The sequence below is a fragment of the Homo sapiens genome, chromosome 12 (genome assembly GCF_000001405.40).
Source record: "Homo sapiens chromosome 12, GRCh38.p14 Primary Assembly".
NCBI lineage: Eukaryota > Metazoa > Chordata > Mammalia > Primates > Hominidae > Homo > Homo sapiens.
Window position 1 is genome coordinate 21,128,281 of NC_000012.12, and position 22,998 is coordinate 21,151,278.

At 36.6% G+C, this 22,998-nt stretch overlaps 1 protein-coding gene across 1 annotated transcript in view; it reads left to right on the forward strand.

The window, feature by feature from the left end:
* Positions 2,914–22,998, forward strand: part of SLCO1B1 (solute carrier organic anion transporter family member 1B1) — a 108,603-nt gene continuing 88,518 nt past the window's right edge. Inside the window, exons 1-2 of the mRNA NM_006446.5 lie at positions 2,914–2,956; positions 13,234–13,378. Of these exons, the coding sequence (NP_006437.3) occupies positions 13,295–13,378 (84 nt within the window). The 5' untranslated portion in view covers positions 2,914–2,956; positions 13,234–13,294. The remainder of the gene's footprint in view (positions 2,957–13,233; positions 13,379–22,998) is intronic.

The following is a 22,998-nucleotide window of genomic DNA, read 5'->3' on the forward strand; positions in this document are numbered from 1 at the left end:
GAGGAGAAGGCTAAAAAATAAAAAGAAAATAAAAAGAAAACAGAGAATTAAAAAGATTCTCTTCATGGTCATTACCATCATGAATAATTAAAATAGTAGTAGCATTTTGAGAGAATGGCTTTGGATCGAGAGCTAAAATTGTCATGAAATGAGTGGGAGTGACTGAGCGTTGATAGATGATTTCAACAAGAGGAATAAGTGATAGAGTCTTTCAATATGAGATCCAAAACTATGGATTATGAGTGTAAAGGGTGGGGAAATGTAAAGAAACTAGCAAAGTGAGGCACATTGGAAACCAGCCCATCTGGTTTGCAGCAATATGGGGGATAAGGCAACCCCTATGTATCACTGCTGCAGGAGAGGGAGTGTCTCAGGGAAGACCAATTTTTAAGTTCAAGGCAGAAGTGAAGCAGAATAACTCAGAGAAGAGGTAAAGGTAAGGGGAGTTTCAGTCATGACTAGTGATGGGTTCCAGAAAACTCAAGAGAAGAATTTCAGTCCAGGATTGGGAGAAAGAGAGAAGATGGGGGCAAACATAGGAATGTGCAGAGCCCTGTGGGGATTAGAGAAGAGGTGATGAGTCATCAGGGAATCCCTACCTTCTTATGGTGGTCACTACCATAAGAGCGATAATTGCCATGGTAATATTAGTCTTGATGATGCCAGAGCTTTGATCATTGGTGGGTATAGAAACATGTTTGGAGAATAATATGTAGAATAGGAGTTCTTTCCAGGAGAGTGTAGCTTTCTGGAGCTGTCTCTTAATCAGCACCAACAGAAGTGAAATGTTCGGGTAAGGGCGGATCTGCTTGGAGCCTGACGGTTCCCTCTTGAGGTGTGCCTGTGGTACACACCTGAGAACTCTGGGGCTAAAACCTATTGGACATAGGTTTTACAGATCTACAGGATACAGATCTCAGAGATTTTATTTGTATTCATTTAATATAAATTAACTGCTCTAAAATTTATAATATGCAAATATCATACAATTAATCTAATTAGGTGTTGAATCTATAATGTGCCAGGCATTATGTAAGGCACTTTACATACACTAAATCTTTATTCCAAATATAGACTTCTTACTTTATAGATGAGTGCACTGATGCTCAGAAATGGTAAATAACCTACTGATGTTTATACTGCTGGCAGGTAGCAGAGACATATCGGCATTTAAGTCTTTCAGACTTCAAAGGCCATGATATTTCATCAGAGCTGTGATAGCCGTTCCTGAAAAAAATATCAGCTGATTCTTTAAATCAATTTTTGTCATCTAACTGATGCGTGGCTGTTAGCATAATATTGATCTTGAAAGATGTTTTGCAACATCTTTCCCCTGGTGTACTCTTGTTTTTCCATGATCCCACAAAATGAGCAGTCTAATTATTTACACAATTAGGAAGAGAAAAGGGGCACAGAGAATGCTCTTTGACCTCTGAAAATATTGGAGAATTTTACAACTGGCACCTTTAGCTCAGGATTATAAAGGTTGTTAGTTAGTTTGTACTGTTTTATCTTCATTGTATATAATATATATATTAGTCTCCAAACATGTTGATGTGTTTTCAATGAAATGGATGTCTGAGGAGAAAACCATTAGCCTGAGAAAACCCAAACTGTATTCCCATTGTGAATAAAAGGAAGTCCATAAAAATGATGGAAAATGTTCTGCATTCCTGTTATGATATCAAAATCTGGCAGTACATGAAAATTTTTCAAAGTGCTTATTTAACAGGCATAATCTTTGGTCTCCTGAGCCAGAATCTGCTGGGTATGGGACTGGATTGCTATTTTGACAACTCGCCAGTAGATTCTTACTCAGCAGAGTATTTGGAAGCCTTACTCTAATATTTTGGCCTTGGGTCTACATTTCTCAGTTCTGCACAGTCATTCTTCCCCTCTACACTACTCTTTAGTTTGTCTCATGATTCCAATACTCTCAATAATTAACCAAGAATAGAACTAATCAATCAGATAACTGTGGCACAGACATCAAATACATTTTGCTGCAACCATATCAACAAATGTCCCATGAATGATAAGGGGTAACCATATTCTCATATATGCATCCTCACATTACCACATATATATATGTGCATATGTGTATACAGGTAAAAGTGTGTATATATGTATACATGTATGTTTGTGTGTATATACATACATATATCTTCACACTTTTCTGAAATATATATATTTATGTGAGAGAAGGGTCTGTACTTTATTTCAGAAGAGAGCTTAATGTCCAAGGTATAATTGAGAGTCTAAAATGTTTGAGTTATTGAATTAATTAAACTTCATCTCTACTCAAGAAAACTTTTAACTGAGTTAAGCTCTTCCTTTCTCCACAAGTCAAGTCAATAAAAGGAAACTGTGATATTAATAATTCTTTCCTGTTTTGATGTAAAGAATCTATCGCATAAAGCAGTCTTAATTTTCATCATTCAGAAAAATGGTCTTGCAGTTAATTGGGACTCTCTTATTCCAGGTGGTATCTCCAGTCTCCATACATACCACGTTAGAACCATACTTATGTACCAAGCAAAGAGGGTATATTTTAATTTTTAAATGCCAATGTAACCTGTAGGCATATTTTTTATTTGTCTTAAATTATTTCCTATTTGGAAGTTTTAAATACCTGGAATAATTTATTGTACTCATATTTTTAAAGAAAAAAATCTTATGCCACCAACTTAATTGAATAAACAAGTAAAAGCCATTCCCAAAAGTAAGGTTTACTTGTTAAGATTAACAAAAAATAATGTGAGAATTCTGAGAAATATAATCTTTAAATATTGGCAACTGGAGTGAACTCTTAAAACTAACTAGGTTTTATATGTTTGACTAGAGCAATGACATAATAAGGTGGTTAATCATCACTGGACTTGTTTTCAAAAAGCCAACTACTTTAAGAGGAATAAAGGGTGGACTTGTTGCAGTTGCTGTAGGATTCTAAATCCAGGTAAGAACCATTGAGATTCTCTAATTTTTACATATATTTTATGTAAGAAATTTTCACGGAAGAAGATTTTGATGGTCTTGAAAAATATTACGAATTTTATGCTCTGTGTCTTCCACACGCTTACATTCTGAGCCCTTAAAACATAGTAAATATTCCTTCTGGGAGTAGAAGAGCCTCAGGTTTATATACTGTTAAAAATAAAGTAGAGAAAATAATACCTTTATATATTTAAATATAAAGTTTCAAATCTTGGTCTTATTAATTTCCAAACAAATAAAAATCAAGTCTCAAAAATGAAGCTCTAGTTACCTTCTTAAAATATGCTACAGGATAATTATTTTTGTCAACTACATTGACTGATCACACTAGACTCCTTATTTCTTTGATGTCTTCTTAACTGGATGAAGGCAGCCAAGGGTGGGAGTAGAGGGAAGAGTTAATTGGCAAACATAAAAAACAGGTGTCTCAAAGTCACATAACCACCTCAGTTTCCTTGTTTCAACTCAAGTTTGATACAGGGTGAAGGGAAATATATTTTCTAGATAATTTATCTCCAATTAAATAAGCAAAAAGTCTTCTCAGTACAGTTTTTTTCTTTTTTTATTTCATTATTATTATACTTTAAGTTTTAGGGTACATGTGCACAACATGCAGGTTTGTTACATATGTATACATGTGCCATGTTGGTGTGCTGCACCCATTAACTCATCATTTAACATTGGGCATATCTCCTAATGCTATCCCTCCCCTCTCCCCCACCCCACAACAGTCCCCGGTGTGTGATGTTCCCTTTCCTGTGTCCATGTGTTCTCATTGTTCAGTTCCCACCTATGAGTGAGAACATGCGGTGTTTGGTTTTTTGTCCTTGCGATAGTTTGTTGAGAATGATGGTTTCCAGTTTCATCCATGTCCCTACAAAGGACATAAACTCATCATTTTTATGGCTGCATAGTATTCCATGGTGTATGTGTGCCACATTTTCTTAATCCACTCTATCGTTGTTGGACATTTAGGTTGGTTCCAAGTCTTTGCTACTGTGAATAGTGCCGCTATAAACATACGTGTGCATGTGTCTTTATAGCAGCATGATTTATAATCCCTTGGGTATATATCCACTTATGGGATGGCTGGGTCAAATGGTATTTCCAGTTCTAGATCCCTGAGGAATCGCCACACTGTCTTCCACAATGGTTGAACTAGTTTACAGTCCCACCAACAGTGTAAAAGTGTTCCTATTTCTCCACATCCTCTCCAGCACCTGTTGTTTCCTGACTTTTTAATGATCGCTATTCTAACTGGTGTGAGATAGTATCTCATTGTGGTTTTGATTTGCATTTCTCTGATGGCCAGTGATGATGAGCATTTTTTCACGTGTTTTTTGGCTGCATAAATGTCTTCTGTTGAGAAGTGTCTGTTCATGTCCTTCACCCACTTCTTGATGGGGTCGTTTGTCTTTTGTAAATTTGTTTGAGTTCATTGTAGATTTTGGGTATTAGCCTTTTGTCAGATGAGTAGGTTGCAAAAATTTTCTCCCATTCTGTAGGTTGCCTGTTCACTCTGATGGTAGTTTCTTTTGCTGTGCAGAAGCTCTTTAGTTTAATTATATCTCATTTGTCATTTTTGGCTTTTGTTGCCATTGCTTTTGGTGTTTTAGACATGAAGTCCTTGCCCATGCCTATGTCCTGAATGGTATTGCCTAGGTTTTCTTCTAGGGTTTTTATGGTTTTAGGTCTAACATTTAAGTCTTTAATCCATCTTGAATTAATTTTTGTGTAAGGTGTAAGGAAGGGATCCAGTTTCAGCTTTCTACATATGGCTTGCCAGTTTTCCCAGCATCATTTATTAAATAGGGAATCCTTTCCCCATTGCTTGTTTTTCTCAGGTTTGTCAAAGATCAGATAGTTGTAGATATGCGGCACTATTTCTGAGGGCTCTGTTCTGTTCCATTGGTCTATATCTCTGTTTTGGTACCAGTACCATGCTGTTTTGGTTACTGTAGCCTTGTAGTATAGTTTGAAGTCAGGTAGGGTGATGCCTCCAGCTTTGTTCTTTTCGCTTAGGATTGACTTGGTATGCGGGCTCTTTTTTGGTTCCATATGAACTTTAAAGTAGTTTTTTCCAATTCTGTGAAGAAAGTCATTGGTAGCTTGATGGGGATGGCATTGAATCTATAAATTACCTTGGACAGTATGGCCATTTTCATGATATTGATTCTTCCTGCCCATGAGCATGGAATGTTCTTCTATTTGTTCGTATCCTCTTTTATTTCATTGAGCAGTGGTTTGTAGTTCTCCTTGAAGAGGTCCTTCACATCCCTTGTAAGTTGGATTCCTAGGTATTTTATTCTCTTTGAAGCAATTGTGAATGGGAGTTCACTCATGATTTGGCTCTCTGTTTGTCTGTTATTGGTGTATAAGAATGCTTGTGATTTTTATACATTGATTTTGTATTCTGAGACTTTGCTGAAGTTGCTTATCAACTTGAGGAAATTTTGGGCTGAGATGATGGGGTTTTCTAGATATACAATCATGTGATCTGCAAACAGGGACAATTTGACTTCCTCTTTTCCTAATTGAATACCCTTTATTTTCTTCTCCTGCCTGATTGCCCTGGCCAGAACTTCCAACATTATGTTGAATAGGAGCAGTGAGAGAGGGCATCCCTGTCTTGTGCCCGTTTTCAAAGGGAATGCTTCCAGTTTTTGCCCATTCAGTATCATATTGGCTGCAGGTTTGTCATAGATAGCTCTTATTATTTTGAGATACATCCCATCAATACCTAATTTATTGAGAGTTTTTAGCATGAAGGGTTGTTGAATTTTGTCAAAGGCCTTTTCTGCATCTATTGAGATGATCATGTAGTTTTTGTCTTTGGTTCTGTTTATATGCTGGATTACATTTATTGATTTGCGTATGTTGAACCAGCCTTGCATCCCAGGGATGAATCCCACTTGGTCATGTTGGATAAGCTTTTTGATGTGCTGTTGGATTTGGTTTGCCAGTATTTTATTGAGGATTTTTGCATCAATGTTCATCAAGGATATTGGTCTAAAATTCTCTTTTTTTGTTGTTTCTCTGCCAGGCTTTGGTATCAGGATGATGCTGGCCTCATAAAATGAGTTAGGGAGGATTCCCTCTTTTTCTATTGATTGGAATAGTTTCAGAAGTATTGGTACCAGTTCCTCCTTGTACCTCTGGTAGAATTCGGCTGTGAATCCATCTGGTCCTGGACTTTTTTTTGTTGGTAAGCTATTGAGTATTGCCTCAATTTCAGAGCCTGTTATTGGTCTATTCAGAGATGCAACTTCTTCCTGGTTTAGTCTTGGGAGGATGTATGTGTCAAGGAATTTATCCATTTCTGCTAGATTTTCTAGTTTATTTGCCTAGAGGTGTTTATAGTATTCTCTGATGGTAGTTTGTATTTCTGTGGGATCGGTGGTTATATCCTCTTTATCATTTTTTATTGCATCTATTTGATTCTTCTCTGTTTTCTTCTTTATTAGTCTTGCTAGTGGTCTATCAATTTTGTTGATGCTTTCAAAAAACCAGCTCCTGGATTCATTAATTTTTTGAAGGGTTTTTTGTGTCTCTATTTCCTTCAGTTCTGCTCTGATGGTAGTTATTTCTTGCCTTCTGCTAGCTTTTGAATGTGTTTGCTCTTGCTTTTCTAGTTCTTTTAATTGTGATGTTGGGGTGTCAATTTTGGATCTTTCCTGCTTTCTCTTGTGGGCATTTAGTGCTATAAATTTCCCTCTACACACTGCTTTAAATGTGTCCCAGAGATTCTCGTATGTTGTGTGTTTGTTCTCATTGGTTTCAAAGAACATCTTTATTTATGCCTTCATTTCATTATGTACCCAGTAGTCATTCAGTAGCAGATTGTTCAGTTTCCATGCAGTTGAGCAGTTTTGAGTGAGTTTCTTAATCCTGAGTTCTAGTTTGATTGCGCTGTGGTCTGAGAAACAGTTTGTTATAATTTCTGTTCTTTTCCATTTGCTGAGGAGAGCTTTACTTCCAACTATGTGGTCAATTTCAGAGTAGGTGTGGTGTGGTGCTGAAAAGAATGTATATTCTGTTGATTTGGGGTGGAGAGTTCTGTAGATGTCTATTAGGTCCGCTTGGTGCAGAGCTGAGTTCAATTCCTGGGTATCCTTGTTAACTTTCTGTCTCATTGATCTGTCTAATGTTGACAGTGGGGTGTTAAAGTCTCCCATTATTATTGAGTGGAATTCTAAGTCTCTTTGTAGGTCACTAAGGACTTGCTTTATGAATCTGGGTGCTCCTGTATTGGGTGCATATATATTTAGGATAGTTAGCGCTTCTTGTTGAATTGATCCCTTTACCATTAGGTAATGGCCTTCTTTGTCTCTTTTGATCTTTGTTGGTATAAAGTCTGTTTTATCAGAGACTAGGATTGCAACCCCTGCCTTTTTTTGTTTTCCATTTGCTTGGTAGATCTTCCTCCATCCCTTTATTTTGAGCCTATGTGTGTCTCTGCATGTGAGATGGATTTCCTGACTACAGTGCACTGATTGGTCTTGACTCTTTATCCAATTTGCCAGTCTGTGTCTTTTAATTGCAGCATTTAGCCCATTTACATTTAAAGTTAATATTGTTATGTGTGAATTTGATCCTGTCATTGTGATGTTAGCTGGTTATTTTGCTCATTAGTTGATGCAGTTTCTTCCTAGCCTTGATGGTCTTTACAATTTGGCATGTTTTTGCAGTGGCTGGTACCAGTTGTTCCTTTCCATGTTTAGTGCTTCCTTCAGGAGCTCTTTTAGGGCAGGCCTGGTGGTGACAAAATCAGCATTTGCTTGTCTGTGAAGGATTTTGTTTCTCCTTCACTTATGAAGCTTCGTTTGGCTGGATATGAAATTCTGGGTTGAAAATTCTTTTCTTTAAGAATGTTGAATATTGGTCCCCACTCTCTTCTGGCTTGTAGAGTTTCTGCCGAGAGATCAGCTGTTAGTCTGATGGGCTTCCCTTTGTGGGTAACCCAACCTTTCTCTCTGGCTGCCCTTAATATTTTTTCCTTCATTTCAACTTTGGTGAATCTGACAATTATGTGTCTTGGAGTTGCTCTTCTCGAGGAGTATCTTTGTGGCGTACTCTGTATTTCCTGAATCTGAACGTTGGCCTGCCTTGCTAGATTGGGGAAGTTCTCCTGGATAATATCCTGCAGAGTGTTTTCCAACTTGGTTCCCTTCTCCCCATCACTTTCAGGTACACCAATCAGACGTAGATTTGGTCTTTTCACATAGTCCCATATTTCTTGGAGGCTTTGTTCGTTTCTTTTTATTCTTTTTTCTCTAAACTTCTCTTCTCACTTCATTTCATTCATTTCGTCTTCCATCACTGATAACCTTTCTTCCAGTTGATCCTATCAGCTACTGAGGCTTCTGCATTTGTCATGTGGCTCTCTTGCCTTGGTTTTCAGCTCCATCAAGTCCTTTAAGAACTTCTCTGCATTGGTTATTCTAGTTATCCATTTGTCTGATTTTTTTTCAAAGCTTTTAACTTCTTTGCCATTGGTTTGAATTTCCACCTGTAGCTCAGAGTAGTTTGATCATCTGAAGCCTTCTTCTCTCAACTTGTCAAAGTCATTCTCCATCCAGCTTTGTTCCGTTGCTGGTGAGGAGCTGCATTCCTTTGGAGGAGGAGAGGCGCTCTGATCTTTAGAGTTTCCAGTTTTTCTGCTCTGTTTTTTTCTCATCTTTGTGGTTTCATCTATCTTTGGTCTTTGATGATGGTGACGTACAGATGGGTTTTTGGTGCGGATGTCCTTTCTGTTTGTTAGTTTTCCTTCTAACAGACAGGACCCTCAGCTGCAGGTCTGTTAGAGTTTGCTAGAGGTCCACTGCAGACCCTGTTTGCCTGGGTTTCAGCCTCAGTGGCTGTAGAAGAGCGGATATTGGTGAACCACAAATGCTGCTGCCTGATCGTTCCTCTGGAAGTTTTGTCTCAGAGGAGTACCCGACCGTGTGAGGTGTCAGTCCGCCCCTACTGGGGGGTGCCTCCCAGTTAGGCTACTCGGGGGTCAGGGACCCACTTGAGGAGGCAGTCTGCCTGTTCTCAGATCTCAAGCTGCGTGCTGGGAGAACCACTGCTCTCTTCAAAGCTGTCAGAGAGGGACATTTAAGTCTGCAGAGGTTACTGCTGTCTTTTTGTTTGTCTGTGCCCTGCCCCCAGAGATGGAGCCTACAGAGGCAGGCAGGTGTCCTTGAGCTGTGGTGGGCTCCACCCAGTTCGAGCTTCCCAGCCGCTTTGTTTACCTAATCAAACAACTAACTCAGCAATGGTGGCCGCCCCTCCCCCAGCCTCGCTGCCACCTTGCAGTTTGATCTTGGATGGCTGTGCTTGCAATGAGCGAGACTCTGTGGGCATAGGACCCTCCAAGCCAGGTGCAGGATATAATCTCCTGGTGTGCTGTTTTTTAAGCCGGTTGGAAAAGCACAGTATTAGGGTGGGAGTGACCCAATTTTCCAGGTGCCGTCTGTCACCCCTTTCTCTGACTAGGAAAGGGAATTCCCTGACCCCTTGTGCTTCCCGGGTGAGGCAATGCCTCGCCCTGCTTTGGCTTGCGCACGGTGCGCTTCACCCACTGTCCTGCACCTACTGTCTGGCACTCCCCAGTGAGATGAACCCGGTACCTCAGTTGGAAATGCAGAAATCACCAGTCTTCTGTGTTGCTCATGCTGGGAGCTGTAGACCAGAGCTGTTCCTATTTGGCCATCTTGGCTCCTCCCCTCAGCACAGTTTTTAGCATGAACTAAGGCCTCAATAAATATTAGTTCCCTTCTCCAATTCAGAAAGTTGTCTGCCTTGATAAGACAATTGTTTTTATTGTGAAAGTGAGGTGGAGATGGGGGATTGTCTCTCCTATAAAAGGTCTAAGAAGTTAGCAAATGCTGTTTTTCCTTTTTGCTCCTCAGTTGCATAAGTACATGGTAGAAATTGGGTCACTTTGCCTAAACCGGTTTTCTATAACCTATTAAGTATTAAAAGCTTGACACAGATAAGTAGAGGCTGATAAGATTCTGTCCTGCACCCCACTCCTATCAAATTTGGAAGAACTGACCTCTTCCGGGAAGAATTGCAATGCTAAATCCAAATGCCTATGGTTCTATCTTATAAACAAATGGTGTCCTCAAAATTCATTTATGTAAATCATTTGAAATTTAAGAAAAAAATATGTTCAGAGAAAAATATGTTAAATGTCAAGGTGAATTAGAAAGTGTGGCATTTAGTCAAGCATAAATTAATATTCCAACTTTCTAGTTACTTTGTAGTAACTTATTTAACATTTTGGTGAAATGAGGAACAAAGTGTCCACCTTTTTTTCCTGAATATTTTATCTGAAGATCTAGGAGAGAGATGTGAAATAGTATTTTTCTGGGGAAGTAGGGGAAATACAAAGAAAAGTAATGACTTCAGGTATATTCTCCACTGGTACAGCAGGATGGGAGATATTATCAACAGGTGGTAAGTATAAAAATATTGAAGAGGTACAATTTGGATCAGCATTACAACCAAGAATGGAGAATGACATTCAGGATTGAAAGAAACATACAAGAGGGCAGAAAGCTTTCTTCTTGGGACTGTGGTTTCATGTGTCTGCAGGTGCTATGGGTATATTGAGAATGGTTCTAAAAACAGGGGCTTGGTTTAGGTTGTGAAGACCATCAAATAGAAACTGTGAATTTTATTTTGTGTCGTTAAAGGGATCTTTGAAAGATTCTTAGGATAAATATGATATGCATAGGATAGAAAGAAAGGTGGGAGACAGGACAAACAGAAGTTAATCAATTGAAATAAACCAGGTTTGGAGTGGTGGGACAATAGCCTTCAAGACATCAAGAATATTTGTTAGTAGAAAGAAAATCGAAGCCTAAAACTAAAGGAAGACTATCCACCTTGCAAGTCATACAGAGATATTTGCTATTATATAATTTTTTTAAAAAAAGATTTCCTAATATTTAAATTATGAAGAAAGAGATAGAAACAGATATTCATGGAAAAAATGGGGTGAAATTAATCAAAGGGCAGCTTATTACCTTGAGACTAAACAGCCATTGACTTTTTTCTTACCTCACTGAACCCAGAAACCCGACATATCTAGGTACAGGCATGCATAAAACATGTACACACACAAAATGTAATAATTGGAGTTCACTTAGAGGTACACATGTATGGGTTTCTGTATTCAACCATATGTTGATATATACTCACATATATGTAAGTGATAATATCCTGTTTGTTACTTCCACATTTATGCACTATCCCTTAAATATGTATTATATATATTTATATTATTCAGAATCCATCAGCCCTTGTTGAATAAATTAGTGAATAAAATATAGAGTCGAGTCTCATTATTCACAGATTCTATATAAGAAAATTTGTCTATTCACTAAAATTCCTTTGTAACACCAAAATCAATACTGCTGGACTTTCATGGGCATTCACATGCATGTGCAAAGTGGTGAAAAATTTGAGCTGCCATGTTCCCAACTAAGGTTGAACAAAATGAAGCTCTGTCTTCTTGTTTCTGCTCACATATGATAAAGAAATATCCTTTTCACACTGTATTTATTGCCACATTTTTGGCATTTTTGTGTTTTGTGTTTCTGAGTTGAATGTTTCGAATGGGCCCCAAAGATAGTGCTGAAGTGCTCTCCGGTGCACAAGAGTATCTGAGGGAAAAGATACATATGCTGTATAAGCTTCCTCCAGGCCTGAACTACAGTGTTGTTGACAACTAATTCAATGTTAATGAATCAATAGTATGTATTAAATAAAGTGTCTTTAAACAAAACATACATAAAACACAGTTCTATATTGAACAATTTACCAAAATATTGTGACCAGAGGCAGACAGGCATATAACTAACCCCACATCTCTCCAAGGAACAATGGTTCAATATTTGCTAATTCAGTGTTCCCAGCAACTTTATAAAACATAACTACTGCAACAAGTATCAACTGTACATATAATATATATTAGACATATTGTATAATTACTGCCCTATTAAAAATCATGTATCTATGCTGTGTCTGCTTATATAGATATCTTAGATACATAAATATGTATTGTTTACATACATAGGAGCAAGAATGTATTTCTAAAACTCCATGAAGAACACATTATATTCTATATAAAAGAGTCAGTTGAAGTAAAAAGTTAACTCATTTTACTAGTCTTTAAAGTAGGACTTTAATGACTCTCAAAATAACAATTTCTCTCATACATTGACTCCAAAACTTTAGTTGTTGAATTTATTCTGCAGATATGGCCACATAAAACCAAAATGGCATATGATATATTAAGAACATCTTTAATATGAAATGATTAGATACAACCTAAAAGCTGATGAATATAGAACCAGTTGCATATATTATGGACAACTTAATACCCTGCTACCATAAGAAAAATGAGAAAGACTTATTAAGATTAAGTATATAGAGAAGATAAAAAGGTAGAGAATGATGTTTAAGGTATGCTACCATTTGCATTGAAAAGGAAAATATTATGTACTTAATGAAAAATCCATATTATATTTCTGGATAATGGGACAAGAGTTAGAGGAAGAATCTTTGTTTTATTTTTTTAATTTGCATTTTCAACTATATGCATTTTCTCTTGGAAAAGAAATGAACAAAATCAAAATAAAGTAACATCATGATGGTGGTAAGGTCAAGCAATACCAGAGTTGCTCTGAGAAGTACTTGGAGTACACTTTGCTCTTTTTAACAAATCCAAATTCTGTTTGCTTTTTGAGCCTGATTCCAGTGGTGTCTCCTTTATAAAACTGAGGCCATTCTAATTTAATTCTTTATATTATTTTTGTATCTGTTTTGAATATCTACTCTGTGCAAGGGGCTAATAGGCACATTTTAAAACTAGAAGGATAAAGAAAACATATATTTGCTTTTATAAATTTTACAATATAGGTGTGTAGAAAAGATAATAATTTAAATTTCTATAATTTAAAATGTTCATGTAATCTGGTGTGTGATTCTATATTACTTACTTGTTTCAAATTTCTCTCCACAAATTTATTTTTCTATTAAATTGTAATCTCCTTAGGCTAGAATTTGTGTCTGTCTTTCCTACTTTTGTTTCCAGCATTGACCTAGCAGAGTGGTAACGACATAGTAGACCCTGAGTGAATGTTAGTGAATGGTTGATTGATTGATGATGATCTTGTGGCTTTTCTTATTTCTAAATTATATATTGTAAAAATAAAATAAACTATACTTTTTCTTCCTTAATAGGTGATTGTTTCAAACTGAGCATCAACAACAAAAACATTTGTATGATATCTATATTTCAATCATGGACCAAAATCAACATTTGAATAAAACAGCAGAGGCACAACCTTCAGAGAATAAGAAAACAAGATACTGCAATGGATTGAAGGTAGAATAAGTTTTATGTTTTTGAGCTAAAATAAGTAAATAGGGAACTTTAATGTATAGAAAAGCAAGTTGTTAAAAAGAACATTATGTTTCAAATTATAATTTTCAATTGAAGCATATATTGAAATATTAACATAATGATTCATACCTTGATTTAAACCAGTCTTTTAATCTGATTAAGTATTTCTTTGGCGAAATTTTTGATGCTTAATAGTTTATCAATGTAGAAAATTTAGAAATATTTTGATAGCTTCTCTTTGGTTTTGGATTGATCACGACATATTTAGGAATGTGATTAAAATAAAAAATGCATAATGAATAATATTTTAAAATTCTTAGAATTGACTTATAAACTTAGAATATTAATGTCTTGAGACTCACTTTGTGATACTGACTTATTTAAAAATTCTTTTAAAAAAAAAAACAAAAAACAGGATTTAAAAAAGTTCTGATAAGTAATTTAGGCTCATGGAACGGAGGTCTATGATAGTCAAAAACTTGGCCAAAAGACCTGTTTGACGATTTAGAAAAGCCATTTAATGTTTTCATTTGCCAGCTGGTAAAAGTAATAATTCTGCTTTTTGCTTTTGGCACAAACTGTATTAAATGATACAGTTGAGGTATTAAGTGATGCTGGCATTTTTATAAACAGGAATGAGTACTCCTAAGCACAATGCTAAATGAGAAGCCAAGACTCAGAAAAGTTAAGAAATTTTCCTGAAGTCATCTACATTGTGAATTGAAAACCCTGGAACCCAAGACAAAGCCTTTAAATCCCCATATGGAAGTCTTGAGGAAATCAAGAAATAAGGGTCACCTTTTATCAATGTTTTAACTTTTTTATTTAGTCAAATTTGTAGTCTTATACAGCTGAATAAAGGCCACCAAGATTGGAGTCAATTACAATAATGTTATAAAAGGTTCCTTTTAGCTCCTTCCAGGGAACATAAAATTTGTTTGTTTTCTGAGATTACTGATAAAGCCTTCTCTGATGAAATATTTGAGTAACATTTAGGCCAAGTGGCAGTCATAAGGAAAAAGTATTGGTTAATGCAAGTGAATTATGTTCTATATTCTAAGGATAATATAATGTACTGAATTGTTTTTATTTTTAAATACTGAGTGTTACAGTAATTTCACTGACATGTGCATAGCAAAATGGCAGCAAACTGCCTGAAGCAATAAAATTTCCAGAGTGATCCCTTATAGCATATCTGGAGAAGCTGGGAGTTAGGGAATTAGCAGTGTGTGGAAAGGACATTAACTGCAGCCCAATAAAGAAGACTAGAGCTAGAGGAAGATACTGGGATAAGACTGGCATCCCTAATGCTGGTATTTCAGAAACATCGCTAAATTGGTTAATCATGTCTACAAGTGATATTTAAAATAATATTTTCACTCACTTAAATTGTTAACATTGATATGTTGTTGATAAAGAATATTAAACTCAACAATCATTTTACAATAATTCTGTAAAGACTTGCGTGCCTGTAGTTGAGGTTTGTTGCATTTCTGAGCTTACTTTTTATTCATGAGAAATGAAAACATAATGGGAGAAAATTTTTTAAATAAAGGGTATTTTAATTTTTTATGAAGTTTGGGACTTCAAAGTATTAACAAAAGTTGCTGAAAATATATTGACTTTTACTTTCATTAAATTACATTTTATCATCTAATTTCTTAATTTTCTGTATTTGAAATATTATGATTTAGAGATATCTCTGTAGATAGAAAGATAATGAAAACAATAGTAAAACAAATGTAATTCAGGAGCATAAAAAAAGATGAGAGAAACCTTAATAATAGTAGCTAACATTTATCAAGCATTTACTATATGCCAGACATTGATTTAGTGTTTTACTTTTGCTAACAGATTTTTTCCTTACCATAATTCTATCAACTGGATGGTATTATCTCCCCTTTTCAGATGAAAAAACCTAGATATAGACAGGGCAAATGTCTTCTCCTAGGTCTCAAAGTTGGTAATTGGTACACTGAAGGTCTGAACTCAGGCAATCTGATTCCAAATCCTATGCTCTCAACTGTATTCCATATTGCTAAAATAAATGTGGATTTTTGTAATATTAGTACCCTCAAGATGTTATGGCAAGCAGGCTTTTATAAGTGGTGTCTTTAATAACTTTCCTCATTCCATACTTCTAAAAAATTATCTTAAGGTTAAATTATTGAGTGTCAAGCAACTGTGGATTCTAACACTTGCTAACATGCATGCACACACCCAAATATACATGTTGTTACTGACTTACATATACAGACACAGCAGGTGGCAATATATAAGTGCAAATTGATAATATATCCGTGGAAATACAAACAAAACTTTGAGAAATCAAATACTTGAATTCTTTTCTACCCCTTCTCCTCAATTTTTGTACTGAACTAACTACATTACATAGAACCTGCTAGTATATGTTTCATCATTACACTTGTCATTTCTTCTCTTCAAATTTAAACCCAACAAGATACAGGGGAAGATTTAAATGCAATCCAAAGAAAACAGGAAAACAATTCAAGAGTTTAAAGATGACATAGTCATTTTAAGAAAGAACCAAAATTAACTTCTGAAATTAAATATTTTACTACAGGAATTTCATAATACAATTATAGTAATTAACAACAAAATAGACCAAGCTTAAGAAAGAATCTCAGAGTTTGAAGATTACCCCTTTGAATCAACACAAGCAGACAAAATTAAAGGAAAAATATTAATGAAAAAAACCTCTGAGAAATATGGGATTATGTAAAGAGACCAAGCCTGTGACTCATTGGCATTCCTGAAAGAGGAGAAAGAGTAAGCAACTTGGAAAATGTCTTTGAGGATAAAGTCCATGAAAAATTTCCCAGTCTTGCTAGAGAGGTGGATATGCAAGTTCAAAAAATTCAAAGAATCCCTTCAAGATACTATACAAGATGGTCATCCACAAGACACATAATCATCAGATTCTCCAAGGTAAACAAGAAAGAAAAAAACCTTAAAGGCAGCTAGAGAGAAGGGGCAGGTCACTTACAAAAGGAGCCCCATCAGTCTAACAATAGATCTTTCAGCAGAAAGCTTACAAGCTAGAAGAGATTGGGGACCTATTTTCACCATCCTTAAAGAAAAGAAATTGCAACTAAGAATTTTATATTCTGCCAAACTAAGCTTCATAAGTAAAGAAAAAATATTATTTTCGGTCAAGCAAATGCTAACAGAATTTGTTACCATTAGACCTGCCTTACCAGAGATGCTTAAGGGAGTCCTAAACATGGAAATGAAAGAATGATACCTGTCACCACAAAAATAGACTTAACTACAGAGCCCACAGACATTATAAAGCAATTATGCAATCAAGCCAACATAATAACCAGCTAACAACACTATGACAGAATCAAATCCTCACATATCAGTATTAATCTTGAATGTAAATGGGTTAAATGCCTACACTTAAAAGGCATAGAATAGCAAGTTGGATAAAGAAGCAAGACCCAACCGTTTTGTTGTCTTCATGACTCATGTATCATGACATCCATAAGATAGAAAATGAATAAATTGAAATAATATTTATCTCAGAGTTGTCAGGATATTTATAAGGTGCTTAGCACAGTGTTACATAGAAACTCAATAAATTGGAAAGTTCCAACATAGTAGCATTATAGTTGCTGCACTTTTTTTGAGACAGGGCCTCTGTCACCCAGGCTGGAGTGCAGTGGCATAATCTTGGCTCACTGCAAACTCCACCTCCCAGGCTCAAGTGATTCTCCCACCTCCTGAGTAGCTGGAACTACAGGCACATGCCACTTCACCCAGCATTTTTTTCATTTTTTTTTTTTTTTTTTTTTTTTTTAGTAGAGATGAGGTCTTACCTTGTTGCCAGGCTGGTCTTAAATTCCTAGGCTCAAGCAATCAGCCCGCCTTGGCCTCCTAAAGTGCTGGAATTACAGGTATGAGCCATCACATCTGGAAGCTGTTTCTTTTTAAAGTGACTACATTAATTTACTTGATCACGAGTAATACATAAATGAAAATTTGAGAATACATTCACTCCAATATTTGGAATTATGTGACTTCTAGATTTTTGCAATTTAAGTAGGCATAAAATGGTACTTTGTTTTAGTATTTGTCTGTGCTCCTTGATTCTTATAAATATTATATTTTGTGAAATCCATTGCTGAATGCAAGTGGTGCTGGTTACATTTGCCTATTTCCAAGTTTTAGTACATTTATTTTTGAAATATATTTTATCAGTTTAAGGACTTACTTGTAATATCTTTGTGTGGTCTTGGTATTAGGTTAATGTTGGCCTCAATAAATGAGATAGGAAGTATTTTTTTCTGCTTCTAACCTCTGAAAAAAACTGTAGAGAATTGATATAAATTAATTCTTAGGTATTTGGTAGAATTCAACAGTGAAACCATGTAGGCCTGTTTCTTTCTGTTTTGGAAAGTTATTAAAATCAGTTCAATTTCTTAAACAGAAATAGTCCTTTTAATATTGTCTATTTATTCTTGTACAAAATTGGGTAGATCGTGTCTTTCAATATATTGGTCTATTTTATATAGGTTATCATAGTTGTAGGCAGAGTGTTGCTTATAGTATTTCTTTATTATCCTTTTCATGTATATTGGATCTGTAGTTATGTCCCCGCCTTTATTTCTGTTATTAGTAATTTGTGCCTTCCCTCATCTTCTTAGGTAACCTGGCTGGGTCAATTTTATTAATCTTTCTAAAGAATTAACTTGTGGTTTTGTCAATTTCCTCTATTGATTTCCTGTTTATGATTTAATTGATTTCAGGTCCAATTTTTATTCTATTTTTTCTTGTGCTTACTTAAAATTTAATTTGCTTTTCTTTTTGATTTTCCCAAGGTGGAAACTTAGATATTGATTTTAGCATTTTCTTGTTTTCTAACATATGCATTCAGTGCAATAAATCTCTAAGTCTTGATTTTGCTACCTTTCACAAATTTTGATCACTTGTATGTTTAATTTTATTTTTTTCAAGATGTTTTAAAATTTTTCTTCAGATTTCTTTTGACTCATAAGTTACTTAAAAGTGTGGTAGTTAATCTCCACATATTTTGGTATTTTTCCAGTTATCTTTCTGTTATATTCTAGCTTAATTTCATTGTCATCTAAGAGAAGACATTATTAGTTTAAATGTGTTAAGGTGTGTTTTATGGCTTAGGCTGTGGTATATATTGGTGAATATTCCATGTAAGCTTAAGAAGAATGTGTATTCTGTTGTTGTTGGATGAAATAACATATAGATGTTTATTATATCCAGTTAATTGATGATGTTGTTAAGGTCAATCATGTTCTTCCTGTTTTTACCTGCTGGATCTTTCCATTTCTAGAGAGATGTAGAGTCTCCAAATACCATAGTGTATTCATTTATTTCTCCTTGTATTTCTACTGGCTTTTACTTCAGATAGTTTGCAGCTCTGTTGTTTGGTGCCTCTATGTTAAGAAGTGTTATGTTTTCTTAAGAATTGACCCCTTTAACATTTTGTAATGCCCCGTTTTTACCTCTGTTAATTTCCTTGCTTTAGAGTCTGCTGTGTCCAAAATTAATTTAGATTGTCTTGCTTTGTTTTGGTTATTGTTACCATGGAATGTTTTTCTCCACTTCTTTACTTTTTTAAAAAATTACACTTTAAGTTCTGGGATACATGTGCAGAATGTGCACATTTGTTACATAGGTAAACACATGCCATGGTGGTTTGCTGCACCCATCAACCCGTCATCTACATTAGGAATTTCTCCTAATGCTACTCCCTAGCCCCCCAACCCCCAACAGGTGCTGGTGTGTAATGTTCCCCTCCCTGTGTCCATGTGTTCTCATTGTTCAACTCCCACTTATGAGTGGGAACATGCAGTGTTTGGATTTCTGCTCCTATGTTAGTTTACTGAGAATGATGGTTTCCAGCTTCATCCATGTCCCTGCAAAGGACATAAACTCATTCTTTCTTTTGGCTGCATAGTATTCCATGGTGTATATGTGCCACATTTTATTTATCCATTCAATTATTGATGGGCATTTGGGTTGGTTCCAAGTCTTTGCTATTGTGAATAGTGCTGCAATAAACATACATGTGCATGTGTCTTTATAGTAGAATGATTTATAATCCTATGGATACATTCAACAATGGTTGAATTAATTTACACTCCCACCAACAGGGTAAAAGCATTCCTATTTCTCCACATCCTCTCCAGCATCTGTTGTTTCCTGACTTTTTAATGATCGCTTCCAACTGGCGTGAGATAGTATCTCATTGCAGTTTTGATTTGCATTCTCTAATGACCAGTGATGATGAGCTTTTTTAATATGTTTGTTGGCCACATAAATGTCTTATTTTGAGAAGTGTCTGTTCATATCCTTGGCCCACTTTTTGATGGCATTGTTTGTTTCTTTCTTGTAAATTTGTTTAAGTTCCTTGTAGATTCTGGATATTAGCTCTTTGTCAGATGGATAGATTGTAAAAATTTTCTCCCATTCTGTAGGTTGCCTGTTCACTCTGATGATAGTTTCTTTTGCTATGCAGGAGCTTTTTAGTTTAATTAGATCCCATTTGTCAATCTGGGTTTTTGTTGCCATTGCTTTTTGTGTTTTAGTCATGAAGTATTTGTCCATGCCTATGTCCTGAATGGTATTGCCTAGGTTTTGTTCTAGGGTTTTTATGGTGTTAGGTCTTACATTTAAGTCTTTAATCCATCTTGAGTTAATTTTTGAATAAGGTGTAAGAAAGGGGTCCAGTTTCAATTTTCTGCATATGGCTAGCCAGTTTTCCCAACATCATATATATTAAGAAGGGAATCCTTTTTCCATTGCTTTTTTTGGTCAGACTTGTCAAAGATCGGATGGTTGTAGATATGTGGCATTATTTCTGAGGTCTCTGTTCTGTTCCATTGGTCTATATATCTGTTTTGGTAAAAGTACCATGCTGTGTTGGTTACTGGAGGCTTGTAGTATCATTTAAAGTCAGGAAGCATGATGCCTCCAGCTTTGTTCTTTTTGCTTAGGATTGTCTTGGCTATATGGGCTTTTTTTTTTTTTTTTTTTTGGTTCCATATGAAATTTAAAGTAGTTTTTTCCAATTCTGTGATGAAAGTCAATGGTAGCTTGATGGGGATAGCATTGAATCTATAAATTACTTTGGGCAGTATGGCCATTTTTACAATATTGATTCTTCCTATCCATGAGCATAGAATGTTTTTCCATTTATTTGTGTCCTCTCTTATTTCATTGAGCAGTGGTTTGTAGTTCTCGTTGAAGAGGTCCCTCACACCCCTTGTAAGTTGTATTCCTAGGTATTTTATTCTCATTGTAGCAATTGTGAATGGAAGTTCACTCATGATTTGGCTCTCTGTTTGTCTATTATTGGTGTATAGGAATGCTTGTGATTTTTACACATTGATTTTGTATCCTGAGACTTTGCTGAAGTTGCTTATCAGCTTAAGGAGATTTTGGGCTGAGACAATGGGGTTTTCTAAATATACAATCATATCATCTGCAAACAAAGACAATTTGACTTCCTCTCTTCTTATTTGAGTATCTTTTATTTATTTCTCTTGCCTGATTGCCCTGGCCAGAACTTCCAATACTATGTTGAATAGGAGTGGTGAGAGAGGGCATCCTTGTCTTGTGCCGGTTTTCAAAGGGAATGCTTCCAGCTTTCACCCATTCAGTATGATATTGGCTGTGGGTTTGTTATAGATAGCTCTTATTATTTTGAGATATATTCCATCAATACCTAGTTTATTGAGAGATTTTAGCACAGCTCCAGTGTGCAGCTCCCAAAAAGATCAACGCAGAAGGTGGGTGATTTCTGCATTTCCAACTGAGGTACCCAGCTCATCTCTTTGAGACTGGTTAGACAGTGGGTGCAGCCAACAGGGGGCAAGCCGAAGCAGGGTAGGGTGTCACCTAACCTGGGAAGTGCAAGTTGTCAGGAAACTTCCTCCCCTAGCCAAGGGAAGCCACGAGGGACTGTGCCCTGAGGAAAAGTGCATTCTGGTCCAGATACTATGCTTTTCCCAGTCTTTGCCACTGGCAGACCAGGAGATTCCCTCGGGTGCCTACACCACCAGGGCCCTGGGTTGCAAGCACAAAACTGGGTGGCTGTTTGGGCAGACACTGAGATAGCTGCAGGATTTTCTTTTTAAACCCCAGTGGTGCCTGGGACACCAGCAAGACAGAACCCTTCACTCCCCTGGAAAAGGGGCTGAAGCTAGGGAACCAAGTGGTCTAGCTCAGTGGATCCCACCCCCATAGAGCCCAGCAAGCTGAGATCCACTGGCTTGAAATTCTCCTTGCCAGCCGAGCAGTCTGAAGTCAACCCGGGATGCTCGAGCTTGGTAGGGGGAGGGGTGTCTGCCATTACTGAGGCTTGAGTAGGTGCTTTTCCCTCACAATGCAAACAAAGCCACTAGGAACTGGGTGGAGCCCACCGCAGCTCCACAAAGCCCCTGTAGCCAGACTGCCTCTCTAGATTCCTCCTCTCTGGGCAGGGCATCTCTTAAAGAAAGGCAGCAGCCCCAGTCACGGGCTTATATATAAAATTCCCTCTATCTGGGACAGAGCACCTGGGAGAAGGGGCAGCTGTGGGCGCAGCTTCAGCAGACTTAAACTATCCTGCCTGCTGGCTCTGAAGAGGGCAGTGGATCTCCTAGCACCATTCTCAAGCTCTGCTAAGGGACAGACTGCCTCCTTAAGTGGGTCCCTGACTCCCGTGCCTCCTGACTGGGAGACACCTCACAGCAGGGTTCAACAGACACCTCATGCAGGAGAGTTCTGGCTGGCATCTGGTGGGTGCCCCTCTGGAATGAAGCTTCCAGAGGAAGGAACAGGCCGCAATCTCTGCTGTTCTGCAGCCACTGCTGGTGATACCTAGGCAAACAGGGTCTGGAGTGGACCTCCAGCAAACTCCAGCAGACCTGCAGCTGAGGGGCCTGACTGTTAGAAGAAAAACCTACAAACAGAAAGGAATAGCATCAACATCAACAAAAAGGATGTCCACACAAAAACCCCATCTGAAAGGCACCAACATCAAAGACCAAAGGTAGATAAATCCACGAAGATGAGGAAAAACAAGTGCAAAAAGGCTGAAAATTCCAAAACCCAGAATGCCTCATCTCCTCCAAAGGATCATGTTTACTTTTAATCTATATGTGTTTATATATTTAAAGTGGGTTTCATGTAGACAACATATAGTTGGTTCTTGTTACTTGATCTACTGTGTCAATTTCAATCTTTTAATTAATACATTTAGATCATTTGCGTTAAAAGTGATTACTGATATATAGTCATGTGTCATTTAACAACAGGAATGCATTATGAGAAATGCATTGTTAGATAATTTTGTCATTGTGCAAACATCTTAGCGTGTACATACATAAACCTAGATATTATAGCCTACTACACACCTAAGCTTATGGTATAGGCTATTACTTTGATGCTACCAAAACCTGTACATTATTGTAGTTTACTAAATACTAATTACAACACAGTGATATTGGTGTATCTAAACATATCTGAGCACAGAAAAGATAAAGTAAAAATATGGTATTATAATCTTATGGGACCATCATTGTATATGCTCTCCAACATTGACTTAAATGTCATTA